The following is a 17,866-nucleotide window of genomic DNA, read 5'->3' as shown; positions in this document are numbered from 1 at the left end:
AGAGGTACAGAACCAATGATGAAAACTATACATTTTATTGAAGGATACAAGCCAAGAATTAAATAAATGGAAATACATTGTATAATTCTGGATAGAAATTGTTGATGTCACTAATAAGCACATTTTAACCAAATTAATATATGAATCAATGTGATTGCAATCACAATCTCAACAAAAAACTTCCTTTTTTGTTACTGCTTCAAATGACTTTGAAGTTCAAAATAAACCTCTGAGAGTAGAAAAATAGACTTTTGCAAGTAGAACAACATGATATTGGCCCCAAAATAGAAAAATGAATGTATAGAACAGAAAATCCAGAAACAGATCCTCATTATCTAAGTACTTATTATTAGAATGTTTTGGAATTCCTGAAGCTTATTTCAAAAAGTCATCACAACATGGGTGGTAATCTGAATGGTTCTAATTTTGTTGGAAGATTACCTATTTGTTCATTTAAATAAAAAAATACACCTGTCCTTTGAACCTGTCCTACAGAAATAAAATCGCTAAGATTATATGAGTAAGAAGGCTTATTATATTATTGTTGTAGCAACAAAACAGGACATAGCCTGATGTCCATGAGGGAGGGTATGATTGATAAATTATGGGATAGTAAATAGTAAAGAAAATAAGTTAATATACTGACCTGGAAAGTGTAGAAGAACAACATATTAAGCTTTGACCAGTGATGGCATTCAGTAAATGGGATTGGAAGGAGGATCTTTCATTTTGACTTTAACACTCTTTCTATGGTTTTAAATTTTTACAATAAGAATGTACTTTCTTTCATAATCGAATGGTCAATTTTTTTTCTTTTTAAGTTATGGCACTTGGAATATTATGCTCTCATAAAAAATCGTATTTTAAAAGGACATTAACAACACAGGAAAATGATCATAATATATGGTTAGGTAAAATAAAAGGTAAATATAAAATTATATATACCATATGAAGCCAAGTTTTTACACATTCATACATTTAAAAAATGGAAGAAAATGCAATAGTATGTTAATAGTGGTTAATTCTGTTTTTAAATAAATCCTTTATAGTTTTTGGTGTGCATCTCCTAAATGTTTTTCACTGAACATATATTACATTAAAAACAGAAGAAAAATTTCTTACTTAAAAAGGGAAAGATAGAAAGTGAATGCACATTCCTAATATCTAACATGTTGTCAGAGTGAGACTTCAGCTCTAAGGTGACTGGAGACTTATTGATAAGAAAGTAACTTGCAAAGTACATATCCAGCTATCATTCTCACCACACTACGTAGTTCCTTATATTACAGATGAGGAAACAAGATCCAGACTGATGGAATTTACTCAGTCAGTGTTTACAATGCAATAATTTGTGTGAACCTTCCAAGTCAGGGCTTGGCAATACATATTTGACCTATGAAACTGTTGGTCAGGTGAGTCTTGACATGAATTTGTCAGTAATCCTCATCTCATCTGGGTCTCTCCTCTTGCATGAGTCAGAAGCCTCTGAGGGCAGAGCCACCCTATCAGGCATCTAGAGGTTACCATGCAAATTGAAGACATGTGTCCCTGTCCCTGTGAGCTGACTGTGAGAGGCTGGGTGCTCACTTCTCCATGGCCAGTGCTGGGCTCACATTTGGAGACTGGCATTCTCAAGCCTAAATCAGACCTCAGAAAGGTGAAGTATTTACTTCTTCTCTGTGGACTGCTGGATACATAGATAATCATTCTTTAGTAAACATTGTATGAGTACAAAAACACACAGAGGCACGCAGACAGACAGAAACACACACATTCCATAGGGCCAGCCAAATTTAAAAGATTAGCCTCTCTGATCCTCACTCACCCTGGAAAAAGGAGGATTTCACCTGAGCCTCCACATTCTACCCCTGCTAGGGTCAGAGCTGGAGCAAAGGACATTAGGCATTGCTAGAGGTAAAAGGAGCTGGAGAAAAGAGGATTTTCCAGAGCTTCTCTCCCAGAAAGAAAGAAGCATGTTGGTTGAACTACTTTGATGAGCAAGTGGGGATGAGTGGTGAGTATTGAGATCCCCTGATAGGGAGGGTTGATTGAGTTACCTGTAGGGTTTGGTTTGGCTGACTGGGCAGGGAGGTGGAAGTTGGGATGGGAGCCATGGAAGGTGACATGGTTTGGCTTTGTCTCATGTAAAATTGTAATCCCAGTGTTGGAGGAGGGGCCTGGTGGGAGGTGATTGGGGCATGGGGGTGGATTTCCCCCTTGCTGTTCTCATGATAGTGAGTGAGTTGTCAGGAGATCTGGTTGTTTAAAATTGTATGGCACCTTCCGCTTCACTCTCTCTCTTCCTCCTATTCCCCCATGTAAGAAGGGCTTGCTTCCGCTTCGCCTTCTACTATGATTTTAAGTTTCCTGAAGCCTCCCTAGAAGCAGAAACCTGTACAGCTCACAGAACCATGAACCAATTAAACAAACCTCTTTTCTTTATAAATTACCCAGTTTCAGGTATTTCTTTATAGTAGTGTGAGCATGGATTACTACAGAAGGGTAGTTGAGGGCTGTCTGCAGGGTTCTCACATCTGTCCTTTCCAGGCAGTGCTCAGACTCTCCTGACAATAAATGTCCCATGCATGTGTCCTGGGGCCTCAGCCATTTCTGGGAGGATTGGGGAGATGTTTGGGGGAGGGGCCAGAACTGGAAGCTGAGTTCCCACAACCTACCCTGCATGAACACTGGGTAAATGCAGGGGTCTGAAGTTGTGAGTCCTGCTGAAGATGCACTTTTGTGATCCCTTCAACTCCTCTGCAGGATAGAGTCTGTTCCTGTCTTCAGTTATCAGAGTAGGTTGGACGAACGTGGGTTAACCTACTGAAGTTGTGTCCATTTTGTTCATAGGCTGATTCCCCTGCCTTTGAGTCCCATAAGAAGCCAGGATCTGTGGCTTCTGATTTCCTCATACCCCTCTAGGCAGTCAAGGCCCATCCTCTCAGCCACCCAGCCATGGCTAAGATTGATGTCCCCTGAGCACTGGTGTTTGGGTCTGGGGTCTCACCTGTGGAGTTAGTGCCCTCATGAACACACACTGCATAATGTTGAGTTTAATATTAGCAATAGCTTTCTAGCTGATGCCTGAATTAGCCTTCTGGGCCCTGGAACACTTATCAAATGAATTACTGATCAACATGATGGAATGTGGTTGCTCTAAAGTTCTGCCATATAAGGGTATCAAGTCTGCCTAATATAGACCCATCTAAAAGGAGGCTGAGCCTGGGAAGGGCTCTGCCCTCTCCCCCTTCAGCACACATTTCTCTTGTGACCACTAATATTATTTTGTCTACACCCAGGGGAGTCTCAAAATTCTCAGGCTTATTTAGCTCCTGGTTTAAAACAGTTTGTGTCCATAAAGGGATTCCAGGTCTTGAGTCATTTACAAAACAACTGAAGCTCTGGAACTTCCCTAGACTTCTTACTCAAATTTACTGGAAGTGGGCAACATGAGAGGGAGACGGAGGGGAAGAAAGAGACAGAGAGGAAAGGGACTTGGACCCCCAGGAGTAAATTGGAAAATGCTGTTATTTCCATCTACCTTTCAATTGAAGTGGAGAGGACAGACCCCAGAAGGCAGGGCATTCTCCCCTCAGCTCAAACCCTCAAGAGAACACCTGCCACCCCCTACCCCCGACTCAAGTACCTGCAGGAGCATTGCCAGAAACTTCTTCTCAGCCTCATTCCGGCCATAGCACTGGAAGCTGTGTGTGTAGAGCGTGTATACGTAGCCATACAGGGACACCTGCATGATGTCGCTGGTGTTCAGATCCATCTTCTCTCCTGCCACGAAGGATATTTGGGTGGAGGCACCACCTAAGTCCAGGGCACCCGTGGTTTCCACTCCATGCGGGTGCACCCACATGTGCCACAGGTTCTTCTGCACAGTGGGAAAAGGAAGTGAGAAAGAAAGCCAAAGGCACCATCTCTGTTTGCCCAGAGTTCTCCACCCAAGCCTCGTCTCCTATTACTAAGAAGTAGGACAGAGGGAGCATGTGAGGCCAATTCTTTCCTTTTCTTTTAGAGGTGGTGAATTAAAATGCTTACAGGAACTGGGCAGGTAACATAGGTAAGTAATAAATGAGTGAAGTAGATTAGGTGTATAATAGGGACTGGTGGGTCTGTGGCAAACTGGAGAGTCCATGATTTACACTCTGTTCCTGTTACCGTGCAGGAATGTGAGTCTACTGTGACCAGTTCCTCCGATTTTTGGGAGGAGTGAGGAGGTCAGAAGAAGCTAGAAGTATGGATTTTTATGTGAAATTTCCCAAATGTTAATTGTTGGTAATTATTTAAAAATTTAAAATACATTTGAAGGTGAACAAAATAGGTCTTGGGCTGGATATGCTCTGAGTAACTCCTGTTTTGTGCCCCCTGTAACATGGCAGTTGTCTCTTGGAGTCAACTTTCCTCTGCACCAAGGGAGCAGGGAGTGCAGGGATTGGACTGTGAGGAGACCTGGGAACACAGAGTGAAGACCTCCTCCTGTCTCTGGGGACTTAGGGATACAGACTTCCTGAGGGCTTTGTACATTTCAGATGGTCATGGAGCCTCTCTGAAGGGTTATTCTTCAACTGCCCTCCCAAAGACCCATAGCCTAGTGTTAAATTTAGATCCCACCCCCTTCAATTTCTTACAAGCTAGTAAAGTGACAAGATTCCCTCCCTCCCTAGCATTTAGTCCTGTTTATGACCATGTTTTCTCCCCAGCTATATATGTCTTTCTTAGCTATTGTCTCATAGGTATTTCCCTAATGCGTTACATGGTAGGAGTGATACAGGGCAGATATCCCTGATGGCATGTACCTCTACTTAGGCTATCACTCACAGGGGATAGGATAAACAGTAAGATTAAAAACCATGCATTTGTTTGCACACACCTCCAGGAAATTTCCCATTAAATAGTTGGCTGTAATCCATCCATATACCCCTTCTTCTTGCCCAGAAATGATTTGAGCACCCCTAAAGTCAAAGGGCTGGGACTTGAAGTAGCTTTGGATGCTTTCAAGGACTTCATTAGCTGCTGTTTCATTTTGCAACCTGTACAAGGCACAGAACAAACAAGTCTGAGTGCCCAGACAATACAGTCTTAAAATACATAGTCTCACTCAGGTGAAAATGCAAACTTCACCGTCTCCCTGCTGGTGGGGATGAATGATTTTCCAGATGTGTGCTGTACACCACAATCCCTTTTGCAAGTTGAAGCCTTCTGGGGCAACTGTGAAGGCAGGATGCACTTGTTACCTGTCAAACTGCCAAGCAGGAAAATTGCTTTCAGCATAAGTACAATTTGTTCTCCCCACCCATCTCATCTGTTCATGTATCAAAAGAGCCTCCTATTTAACTGCCATTGCTCTGTCTTAGATCAGCAGAGGAAAGGGGATTGATGAAGTCATAAGAGTGGCATAAATAATCTCTTGGAGGCACCATATGAAGGAACCCTCATCTGACCAGACGGAAAGGGAGCTTAGTAGGAAGGGGGAAAGGAAGAACATTGAGTTTTTAGCTGTTTTTGCTTCACTCTTTGGGAGGGCTTCAGCATGAAGGGATATGACAGTCATCATGGCTGTCACTGGATTGAAAAACCATTGGTGTGCTGACTCTTAGAGGAGTGGCAACACAGCATTCTATCCCTGGTGACAGAATGTTATGGCGTCCATCTGCTGCCATTTTACCCTATGAAAGAAAGCTCACTTGGGAGATTATTTCATCTTTCATCCATGGGTAGAAAGCCAGGGGCACTGGCTGACTCTTGGCTCAGGAAGAAGAAAGAGCAAGGCTATAAGCAGGATCCATTCCAATTCCGTGGCCAATTATCACTTCTTGGAAAATAATTCAGAGTTTTCCCAGTTTCATCAATTCTCATCCCAGCTAATTCTCATTAATTGTTTTCTTTTCTATTTTACTTGTCTAGTAATTAAAATATCAGCTAGTTTCTCAGAAGAAATAGATCATCATTAGAAAACAGTTTTACAAGAAAGAGTTAGTACTTAATTTATTCAAAGGAGACATTCATTTTTTCCTAAGAGGTGAGCTTTCTGTTCCATGGTTTTTGTCATGAGCTGTAAATTGCAGAGCCTTTTAATTATTTCTCACTGAAAGACTGGGGGAGGGAGGGGAAGCAACCAAGAAAAAGTCAGTTTCTTAAGAGCTGTTTTGTTTGTTTGTTTGTTTTGTTTTTGTTTTTAGAGTACTAGAAGTCTACTTAAGTCATAAGTTCAGAGCCAGTTCAACCAAGAAGTTTACATATGTACAAACACTACTGGTAAAGCAAAGATATTTTAGAGTAACTTTTACAGACATTTAATGGAATTGAACCAGTATTTCTCCCTGATTGTAGTCACTTATCACATTCATATTGTTGGTATTGCTCAGGTCCTGTTCTGAAACTTATTACCTGAAGTCAAGTCCCAGGGAGAGTAAACAGCATCCTAATGTATTCTGAAATAGGAAATTCAGTCTGAAAATGGGAATTGAATAGACTGAAAGCAGAAGGATTTCACAAACTAAGCTCTAAGCATTCAGTCTCCAAATTGAAAACTTCATGAGCACATCCTGCAGCTGGCTTTTCTATAAGTAGCTCCACACATGTCGTGTTAAGGAAGCATCCACTATAGCAGATGAGGATTTTAGGTCCATGGAATTAATAGCCTGTAAAGGGGCTGCCTTTCTGTGTTCTCTGAGATTACATGGTTTCAGTTCCATCCTTTTTGGAAGAACTGTTTTTATAAGAAAGAAAAAGCAAAAGGAAGGAGTTTTTAGATCATTTCTATTACACGTAAATGAAATAATTTGGAAATACACTGCAGATTCCAAGAGTGAGCAGAGAAATCTGACTTCCTTCCACATTCAATGTGGTCAACCAGGAAATCAGATTAGAAACAAGAATTATGAGACTATAAGGAAAAGGCCCAGTCTAATGGAGAGCACATCATGATTTCTTTTCATTATCATGTTAAAGGAGCTCTGTTTGTTCTTTTTTTATTAATGCTCAGACATAGATAATTTTGCGTGCTTGGAATCGTAGATAAAGTGGCTCTGAAGCAGAATGAGTGTTGTTTTCTTGTGATAAAACCTTATTCCAACACTTGGAGTAGTAGCCTTTACTCTGAGTAGATTTAAGTTTGGTGTTTCTTTTTGGAATTTTTTTTTGAAATTTCAAGGTCAAGGAAATGCTATAATGGAGAAAAAAGAGAAAAGACATTCAAAAACAATGCAACTGGGCTAAAAGCCATGACTACAAATTTAGAAGGAACTAATTTGAGTGAGTGAAATTAGATGCTTGTTTCATAACAACTCCAAAAGCTTTGACTGATTTGAGGTGCAGACATGCCATTGTTTTAAAGCAGATTTCAGTGGTATTTTGTACACAAGCGGAAGCTACATAGCTATGGGTTGTACTTACTACCAAACTTAGCTGGTTGTTCACAGGTGTCAAATGCCAACTGTCAAAACAACTACTTTTCAAAGAACTAGAGTTATATCCCATGAGCAGATTTCATATGACCTCTCTCTTTTTCAAAGTTCTCAGTAAAATCACCAAGGGAGAGGGAAACAATTTTAGAACTGTTTCTTTCTGGGTATTAAAATAAAAACTAAAAGTTTCCCAACCTTTAAAGCCCAAATTTATGGCAGAATGTGGGCTTCTTTTTGGGGGGCGAGGGTTGTTCCCAGAAATAGAGTTACATTCTTGGCAAGATTCAACATATTCTTGGTTATTTTGGTCAAATGGGCTCCTTTGTGCCACTTAGCCTTTACCTCAGCAAGCGCATCCCAGCCGTGGCTCCCAGGTGAATGGGGGTGGATCCGTGGAGGTGGGATGGAACCTGCCCCTTGACTTTTTGCATACACTCCTCAAAGGCTCTGGGGACATCTTGGGGGTTATTTCCATAGCTGGAGATTCCAGAGCCTGAAAAGCAAGCAGTCAGCATCTGTCAGCATTTCCAGGAACCAATCGCAGTGATACAACTTTTAAATAAAAAACAAATTGGCTTTGAAAATTATTGGGGTTTGGTAGGGGGTCGAAAACAGCTGGATGTGGTAAGTCCCGTATGGTCACACTGATCAGTATACTTGCAACCTCTAAAAGAATGAATTACAATTGTATAAAAAGTAAGCCAGGGCCTACTTTAAAAAAATGTTTTCATTATAAAAATTTCAAATATAAATAAAAGTAGAGAGAATAGTATATTGAAACTCATGCATCTATCTCCCAGCTTCAACAATGATCGACTCTTATTTCATCCATACAATCTTCCACTTGCTTCCCACAAAGCAAAATGCAGATGTGTCATTTAATTCCCATATTTCAGTATGTGTCACAAAAAGTAAACATTCTTTGAAAAAGCCCTAACTACAGTTGAATTATTATACCTGTACAAATTAAAAATAATTTCTTTTTCTTTTCTTTTTTTCTTTTTTTTTTTTTCTGAGACAGAGTCTTGTTCTGTCGCCCAGCCTGGAGTACAGTGGCACGATCTCGGCTCACTACAACCTCCACCTCCCAGGTTCAAGTGATTCTCCTGCCTCAGTTTCATGAGTAGCTGGAATTACAGGCGTGCACCACCACGCCTGGCTAATTTTTGGTTTTTTTATAGAGACACGGTTTCACCATGTTGTCCAGGCTGGTCTCGAACTCCTGACCTCAGGTGATCCACCTGCCTCGACCTCCCACAGTGCTGGGATTACAGGCATGAGCCACCATGCCTTGCCAAAAAAATAATTTCTTAATATCATTAACTATCCAGTCATGGTTCCCATTGCCTCCATATTCGTTCTCATTCTCATCCTCTGTGTCTCTTTCTCTTCCTACTCCTCCTCTTCATCCCTCCTTCTTCCTTCATCCATCACCCTCTTCTCATTTGTATGAGTCAGGATCCCAATAAATTCGGTACAGTGCAATCTTAAGTCTCTTTCTGTCTATTAGTTCTGCCTTCCCTTTCTATTTTTCTCCTAATTATTAAAAATTTTACTTGCAATTTCTTCGTCCTGAAGAATTTCCACAGTCTAGAGTTTGTCGATTGTACCCTCATAGTTCAATTAACATCTTACTTGGTCCCTTGTATTTCTATAAATGGTTAACTGAATGTAGAGGCTTGATCAGATCAGGTTTGAAATTTAAAAAAAATATATAGGGATTAGTGTGGACTTACAATAGGAGGCACAGTATCTGGTTGTTTCTCTTTTTGTGCTGTTATCATCAATGATAATGGTTTAGCTCCATTATTTCATTAGGGGTTGCAAATAGTGATATCTTTTTCTCTTTTTTTTTTTTTTTCTGAGATGGAGTCTCACTGTGTCACCCAGACTGCAGTGCAGTTGGTGTGATCTCGGCTCACTACAACCTCTGTCTGCCAGATTCAAGCGATTCTTGTGCCTCAGCCTCCGAAGTAGCTGGGATTACAGGCACGTGCCACCGTGCCTGGCTAATTTTTGTATTTTTTGTAGAGACAGAGTTTTGCCATGTTGGCCAGGCTGGTCTCGAACTCCTGGCCTCAAGTGATCCACCCGCTTCAGCCTCCCAAAGTGCTGGGATTACAGGTGTGAGACACCATGACTGGCCTGTTGCATTTTACTTTTGAGTTTTAGGAATTACTTTTTAAAAAACGATTTTGTTTTATAGTTACTAAAATAATTAAGTAGTTCTAAAATTAGATCTACAAAACTAGGTATATTCAGAGACATCTAGATTCTCTCCTTGTCTCCTCTTCCTGTAAGTAGTTTCTTTTTTAAAAAAAGTTTAACCAATGTTTGTTTAAAATAAGCAAATATATATTTTTAATCACCCCAACTTTTAGATAAATGGTAATTTACTATATATACTTTTCTCCACTTTTTTTTTCTTTGCATTCAACAATACTTCCTAGTGGCCACTCCATAGCAGTATATAAATATTCTTCATTTCTTTTTACAGTTGCATTGCATGCCATTGCATGAACATAACTTAATTTGTTCTCCCAGTCCAGGCTCTGAGTTTAAATAAGTCTACTTTAAGGAAGACAAAGTATAGGACAGACAAGGAAGATGGAGAGAATATGGTCCCTCTGGAAACTTCCTTCTTTGGAATTGATAGAGCCACTGCCTCCTTCAGCTGCCCTTTCTTAACCTTTCCCACCCATCTTCCAACTACCACAAACCAATAAAAAAACCTGAGCATTGTAATTACAAGTTTTGCTTGGATGTGTCCATTAAGATGCACAGACGTGGATTTCATCGACAGTGCTAGAGAAGCAAGGACAGGCTTTCTCAACCTTGGCCAAGGACAGAGCCTCTAATGTAATTTTCCCTCCTGGGGCAATGACCTCCTACAACAGACAAATGACAGCACCATAAGCCGTGGGCTTGATGAACTCAGTGGCTTGATCTCAGGAGTTCAGAACTGAAGTAGCTGTAAGAAACACTAATAACAATAACAACAATTAAATAAATATATATGTTTATATACGTATGTATATATAATTTTTTTTTTAGACGGAGTTTTTGCTCTTGTTGTCCAGGCTGGAGTGCAATGGCATGATCTCGGCTCACTACAGCCTCCGCCTCCCAGGTTCAAGTGATTCTCCTGCCTCAGCCTCCCGAGTAGCTGGGACTACAGGTATGCACCAACAGACCCGGCTAATTTTGTATTTTTAGTAGAGATGGGGTTTCACCATGTTGGCCAGGCTGGTCTCAAACTCCTGACTTCAGCTGATCCACTTGGCCTCCCAAAGTGCTGGGATTACAGGAGTGAGCCACTGCACCCAGCCTGTATGAATAATTTTTAATATAAAAATATATTAATCCTAAAAAAAGAAAAATGTTCCCCTCTGGTGGGAAGGATTATGGATGATCTTACTTCCTTTTCTACTTTTAAATAAAGATGGGGTCTTGCTATGTTGCCCAGGCTGGTCTCAAACTCCTAGGCTCAAGTGATCCTTCTGCCTTAGCCTCCTGAGTAGCTGGGAATATAGGTGCACACCATTGTGCCTGGTTCCATTTTATTTACCTGTGTTTTCTGATTTTCACACAATGAAAATATATTATTTTGTAATTAGAAAGTTATTTTTAAAAAGACACACAATTCTCTCAGTAAATAAAATGTGAGATTAAGCTCTCAGGCATATTCCTATGAGATAGGTTAGTTAACAGGTTTTTCTCTCCAAAATGCCAATAAAGCCAACAAAAACAACAAAACTATGCTGAACATCACAGGTCAGTGCTCACATTAGTCTTAATTCTTTACTGTGAAACTAGTGAAATGAATCCCCATATACTGATCATTCAGCTTCAACAGTTAATCAATACACAGCCCATCTTATTTTCATTTATATGCTTTCTTTTTTCCATCTCTAGGAATTATTGTAAAGAAAATCCCAGGCATTATGTTAATTCATCTACAAACACTTTAGTATATGTTTTTAAGAGGGAAGAACTCTGAAAAATATAACCATGATACCTAAGAAAAAAATCACTCCTAAAAAAGTTCTTAATATTATTAAAGACCTGTCAGTGTTCAAATTTCCCAGAATAACTTTTTCTTTATAGTGTGATGCAGAAACCAAAGTCCATACCTTGTATGTGCATTTGGATGTTTTTTAAGATTCTCATTCTGTAACAGTTTTCCTGCCCCCCTTTTATCTTGCCATTTATTTATTAAAGAAATCATTTTAATGGAGTAGGTCTCTTATTTTGGATTTCGCTGATTGGATCCGTGAGGTGTCCTTGAACATGTTCCTTTGTCTTCTGTGTTTTTTATAAACTGGGAGTTAATTTCTAGAAATGTGATCAGATTCAGATTTGATTTTTTGGCAAGAGCACTTCCTAGGTGTGCTAGGTTTTTCCTAGTGTACATCACCGCACTGGGGGCATATCATGTCTGTCTGACTTCTTAGATTATAAGCTCCCCATCACTTTTCACCTAATTGCGCACTTCCTCTTTCTTCAACTACCTTGGATTTGGGTTCTGACCTTCTTCTCCCCTCACTGGCTGTCATTCCTCCTAAGTTCTTTTGCTGGATCCTCTTCCTCTCCCCAACCTCTCAGTACTGGAGTGTGTAAGGCTAAGTCCTCAGATCTCTTTTCTTCAGTATCTATTCACTCCTTAGATGAGCTGGGGCTGGATATCGTCTGTATTCTGATGACACTCAGCTTTATTTCTTCATCCTCCCCCTCCCCCGAACTCCCGACTTGCCTATCTGACAACTCCACATCACTGTATAGATCAGGAATGAGCAAGCTATTTGACCCCATACCTGTTTTTGTATGGATTGCAAGTGAAGAATAATTTTTATATTTTCAAGTAGTTGGAAAAAAATAAAATGAAGAACAGCATTTCATGACATATGAAAATTATAAGAAATTAAAATGTCAGTGTCCACAAGTAAAGTTTTTTTTTTTTGAAATGCAAACATGCTAATTCATCTACCTGTTGTCTATGGCTGTTTTCATGCTAAAGGGGCAGAGTTGAGCAGTTACGACAGAGACCATATGACCCACAAGTCTAAAATATTTATCGTGTAGCTCTTTACAGAAAAAGTTTGCCTCCCCTGACTCAGATGATTTATAGCCATCTCCAACTTAATATGCCCAAAACCAAACTCTTTAAGCTTTGCCCTGCCCCCAATATGCTCCACTCCCAGTGTTCCCCAATCTCAGTAAATGGTGTTGTGATGCACACAGTTGCTCATATCCAAACTCTTGCTCATGCATTATGAACTCAGATGCCTCACATCAAGTCCATCATAAAATCATGTTGGTCCTACCTTCAAAATACCTCGCAAATCTAAGCACTTCTCACCCCCTTCCCCAGAACCATCGTAAACCAAGGTTTCTTAACCTTGGTGCTACTGACATTTTGGGGTAGATAATTCTTTGTTGTGGAGGCTGTTCTGTGCATTGTACAATGCTTAGAACATTGTAGAATGGCAAGGGAAAAGGCCAAGTGTGGAAGCTGCTCAGCATTTTCTAGGAAAAGCCAAGGGGCCAGTGTGGCTGGAAGAAAGATGAGAAATGTCTTCTATACACTAGATGCTAGTAGCACCACGGACCCAGTCATGACAATCGAAAAGATCTCCAGACATTGCAAAATGTTTCCCGGGAGACAAATTCACCTTGTGTTGAGAAGCACTAGTCAAGGGCAAATTGACCATCACCTAATCTCTCACCCGTACTGATTTAACAGCACTTAACTGGTGTCCTTGCTTCCAATCTTAGCCCCTGACTACGTGTTCTATATCAACTGAGTGATCCGTTAAAAACAGAAGTCATATCGTATTAGTTCCCTAGTTAGAATCTTCTAATGGCTTCCCAATATACTTTGAAGAAACTTCATTTGTGTCACAGTCAAACCCTTAGGACACCTCAAGTCCCTCCAAGGAGCAGGCCTTGGCTCTAGCTTCAGTCTCATTTCTCATCTTTCTTCCAGCCACACTGGCCCCTTGGCTTTTCCTGGAAAATGCTGAGCAGCTTCCATGCTTGGCCTTTTCCCTTGCCATGCCTCTGCTCAGCATGTTCTTCCCCCACACATTTACATGGCCCATTGTCTCATATCACTTTTGTCTCTGCCTAGCTGTCATATTCTTCATACTTCCCTGACAATCCTGTTCAAAACAGCATGATCACTCTCTTTTTCCTGCCCTGCCTGATTTCTCTTCACATCATGTCTGCCTGACACTCGTTATATGCCCGTTTATTTTTTTGTCTATCTTCCTCATTGGAATGCAAGTCTCATAACACATAACCACAGATTTTGTATATATTGTTTATTTCTGAATTCCTGGTGCCAAGAACAGTTCGTATCAAACAGCAGGCACCTAATACATATTTATTAAATCAATCAATCAATGAGACTTTCAAACCACTATACATCTCTGTAGTAAGGAGATTGGCTAGTCCAATCTGGGATAAACAAAATATAATCTGCAAGGAGCTGGTCTCTGGTTAGCGGCTGGTGAGAGGCGAGATAGAATGGTGAAACCTTGGGAGTATGTCACCAGACAGCCTGTTTGCATAAGGTCCATTAAGCCTTCTAGAGGGAAAAGGAGATAGGATTCACAGGCTTCTAAGCTGCTTGGACTTGGATACTTGGTCCCATGAGAGGAGCACTGAAATTGCTATTTCAATATGGGGAGAGAGGGTTAAACAGACGGCACAAAACTTACTTGAGGGGAAACAGAAGCCAAAGACACGCACCTCAGCTTGAGCTCCGGCCAACTATTGGCAAATGATTTTTTTTTTTTGAAATGAAGTCTCGCTCTGTCACCCAGGCTGGAGTGCAGTGGCATGATTTCCACTCACTGCAACTTCTGCCTTCTGGGTTCAAGCAATTCTCCTGCCTCAGCCTCCCGAGAAGCTGGGATTATAGGCGCCCACCACCAAGCCCGGCTAATTTTTGTATTCTTAGTAGAGATGGAGTTTCATCATGTTGGCCAGGCTGGTCTCAAACTCTTTGCCTCAGGTGATCCACCCGCCTCACCTCCCAAAGTGCTGGGATTACAGGCATGAGCCACTGCACCCAGAGGCAAAGGATGTTTTTTTAATACTATGGTGGCCTGGTTTCTGATGCAACTCTTTGAGGGATTTTAATGGAGGAGATAGTTAAGTTTAGGCTCTAGTGGAGCTTAAGTAATTTTTAGTCACTGGTTTAAAGGAAAGACATTATGAATGTCCCTTGTGGGGAAAGGCAGCAGCAGGCATGAGTACTGCAGATGAGATGAGACGCATGCAGAGAACCCAGCACCTCCAGGAGGTGGCTTCACCACAAGCAGCCAGAGGTACAGACACCAGCACAGAAACCGCCAGCAAAGGCAATGAACTCATGGAAAACAGTAGCAACTGGGGGTTGATACCAACCAGAAAGAAATTTCTGAGGGCCTAGGCATCTGGGAATCCCTGCTGGGTGAGCAAGCATTCATCACCCCCTTCTGTTTGGCCAAGACAGGGGAGTCCTGGGAAGTTTGCAATGGAGGAAGCAGAAACCCAAATTATCCTTGGAGAAGCCACAAGCCTTTGAGGGGATGACACTTGCTGACCTTCAACTCTGTAATTTGAGCTTTAGTTTGTGGTCTTCTGTTCATTCAGAGTATATATAGATCCCTGAGGCTACTGTGATCAAAGAAGGGAAGATCCATTTATGGATATGCTGTGGCCTCCATGACTCTGTGCCTCCTCAAATCACATATGCCATCCAGGGTGGGCCAAGGAACCCTTCCCCTGAGGGACTGCCATAACACCTCCCCATGTAAGTCTTATTTTTCCCCACAGTTGTAAGGCCATCAGGACTAACTTGGTTGAATTGCCCTCCTGGGTCTAAAGACAGAGATCTTGTAACTGTGGGACAGAGTAACAAGTGGCAAGAGGATCCACCAGGAGCTCTGATTGTGGTGCCCCATGAATAACAGTTAATGCTTATTGAGCACTTACTGTATGCCAGGCATTTCTTTTACAACATTATGTCATTTAGTCTTCAAATCACTCCTGTAGGGTAGGTATAACTATTATTATGTTTTTTACTTTAGAGATGAGGAAGTCAAGACTCAGGTTAGATAACTTTCCAGGGTTCACACAGTAGGGATGAGGTGAAGTCTCAATCTCGATCCTACACTATCTTCTCTTTCCTTGGAGCACATAGTCTCTGTCTTTGAAAGGAGCAGCCTGCTGCCCTATTTCATGGTTGAAGGTGAGGAAATGGCTCAGGCATTACCTGAGCAGATAGAGGATCGCTGGTTGAGGTCAGAGCAAGGCTACAGCTGCCTGCATCTTGTGGATAACAAGCAAGCAATACTCAGAAAATATCCGCTGGGTGCAGTGGCTCACACCTGTAATCTCAGCACTTTGGGAGGCTGAGGCAGGAGGATGGCTTGAGCCCAGAAGTTCAAGACCAGCCTGGGCAACATAGTGAGACCCCATCTCTACAAAAAATAAAATTAGCCAGATGTGGTGGCAATGTCTGTAGTCCCAGCTACTCAGGAGGCTGAGATAGGAAGACTGCTTGAACCCAGGAAGTCTAGGCTGCAGCGAGCCATGATTGTGCCACTGCACTCCAGCCTGGGAGACAGAATGAGACCCTATCTCAAAAAAAAAAAAAAAAATTAAAGGAAAATATCCAAGTCCCTTATGTGGTGAATCCAAAACCGTGCCGTGCAATATACCCCTTCAAATAGACTTATTGTCCCAGCTGTCAGCTTCTTCAGGGTCTGCCTGAGCTGCAGAGAGCTGCCTTGCTCAAGATCTTGCTCTTTCCAGGGTGGCAAACATCCAAGAGTGGCAGCAACAGGGGGTATTACAGCCAAGCCACTTTACACCATTTCAACCCAGTGCAGCATAACGGATCAGCTGAAGCTTCATCAGGCCTGAGTTGAAGTTTGACTTCTCTTTTTTTGTCCAGTACTTCTCTCTGCCCACTTTCTGCTATAATAGTGCATCTCTAATAACCACCTTGCACTCCATAATCTGTCTCTACATCTGCTTCTGGAGAGCCTAACCTGGAACACCTGTGCATCAGGGTAGGCAAGCTCCTGGCTGCCCTCCTCGGAGGGCAGATGATCAGAATTCACTCTGATTAGCCAAAGAAGACTCTTGGTCTCCCGGTGAGAAAGACTAACTCTGCTTTCCAAGTTTTTCAATGCCATGATCCCCATGAACTTACAATGTTTTGGCAGCTCACGGAGGGAAACAAAGGAGGCTGCTCGGGCTGGGAGGACAGGTCTGGAGTCTCTAACCTGTTGTCCTGTGGGCTCAAGGATACACTGGGCACATTCAGAACACCCTGGTTGGGAGGCTACAGGCCAACTGAAGATCCTAATGCTCGAACGAGGAAGATAAGTGGCTTTGAAAAAGGCTTACACATATACACACTCCCTAACTAGGCTCAATTACTTGGACTAATTACTTAATTGTAAAAGGCAAAATTATAACACTTTTCATAGAAAAAGGTCTGTATGACCTCAAGATAGAAAAGGATTTCTTAAATAAAACATACAAAAGAGCAAGCCACAAAAAGGAATATTGATGGTTGTATTTACATAAGAATCAAGAACTTCTTTTCATCAAGACACATCGCAAAGAAACTAAAAAGACAAACTACAAACTGTGAGACGGTATTAGCAATAATATGATAATAATAATGGCAAAGAATTCATATTTAGAATATTTATAAAGAATTTCAATGAATTAGTAAGAAAAATTCAACAATTCAATAGAAAAATGAACAAAAGACATGAACATGCATTTCACAGAAAACAGAAATGCCTATAAATATATGGAAAGATATTAAGTTTTATTAATAACCAAGAAAATACAAATGCCCATCAACAAGGAAAAATGAGGCCGAGCACGGTGGCTCACACCTGTAATCCCAGCACTTTGGGAGGCCGAGGCAGGTGGATCACTTGAGGTCAGGAGTTCGAAGCCAGCCTGGCCAACATGGTGAAACCCCATCTATACTAAAAATACAAAAATTAGCCAGGCGTGGTGGCAGGCACCTGTAATCCCGGCTACTTGGGAGGTGGAGGCAGGAGAATCGCTTGAACCCAGGAGGCAGAGATTGCAGTGAGCCAAGATTATGCCACTGCACTCCAGCCTGGGCAACAGAGTGAGACTCTGTCTCAAAAAAAAAAAAAGAAAAAAAAAAAGGAAAGGAAATGAACAAGATAGTTACTCATATCAGTGCAGATGAATCTTAAAAACCCAATGTTGTTAGTGAACAAAGCAAATACGGCATAAAATATGTTGATTCCATTTATATAAATACATGTTTAATTTTGTTTTAAAAAACAGAAACACTACATACATAAGACAAAACTATAAAGAACAAGGAAACAGTTAATATAAAACTCAGAATATGTTGTGGAAAAGACAGGGAGCTGCATGGCGGATCATTAATTATCATT

General features: G+C 41.2%; 1 protein-coding gene and 1 long non-coding RNA gene across 5 annotated transcripts in view, besides 1 other annotated feature; one reads left to right on the top strand and one right to left on the bottom strand.

Annotated features, from left to right (window-relative positions):
- ENTPD3 (ectonucleoside triphosphate diphosphohydrolase 3) overlaps nt 1–17,866 on the bottom strand; it is a 41,561-nt gene that overhangs the window by 9,025 nt on the left and 14,670 nt on the right. For 3 of the 4 annotated variants that reach the window (NM_001291960.2, NM_001248.4, NM_001291961.2), the window contains exons 5-7: nt 7,758–7,908; nt 4,880–5,039; nt 3,647–3,880 (exon numbers count right to left, since the gene is read on the bottom strand). In NM_001291960.2, the coding sequence (NP_001278889.1) occupies nt 3,647–3,880; nt 4,880–5,039; nt 7,758–7,908 (545 nt within the window). Of the gene's footprint in view, nt 1–5; nt 1,688–3,646; nt 3,881–4,879; nt 5,040–7,757; nt 7,909–17,866 lie in introns of those variants that run through there. The other variant, XM_011534266.4, reaches the window with a different exon arrangement.
- ENTPD3-AS1 (ENTPD3, EIF1B and MYRIP antisense RNA 1) overlaps nt 1–17,866 on the top strand; it is a 62,358-nt gene that overhangs the window by 33,589 nt on the left and 10,903 nt on the right. The gene's annotated exons all lie outside the window — the stretch shown is intronic.
- Nucleotides 1,401–1,601: a silencer, noted in NCBI's record as "fragment chr3:40459610-40459810 (GRCh37/hg19 assembly coordinates)". NCBI's record gives its function as "represses an EF-1alpha promoter that drives an FKBP-Casp9 reporter gene in an ReSE screen in HepG2 liver carcinoma cells {active_cell/tissue: HepG2}" and the evidence as "EXISTENCE:reporter gene assay evidence [ECO:0000049][PMID:32094911]".

This window comes from Homo sapiens, chromosome 3, assembly GCF_000001405.40.
Source record: "Homo sapiens chromosome 3, GRCh38.p14 Primary Assembly".
In the NCBI taxonomy this organism is placed as follows: Eukaryota; Metazoa; Chordata; class Mammalia; order Primates; family Hominidae; genus Homo; species Homo sapiens.
Note: the sequence above shows the minus strand (reverse complement) of the source record. Positions and strands in the feature narration are given on the sequence as shown.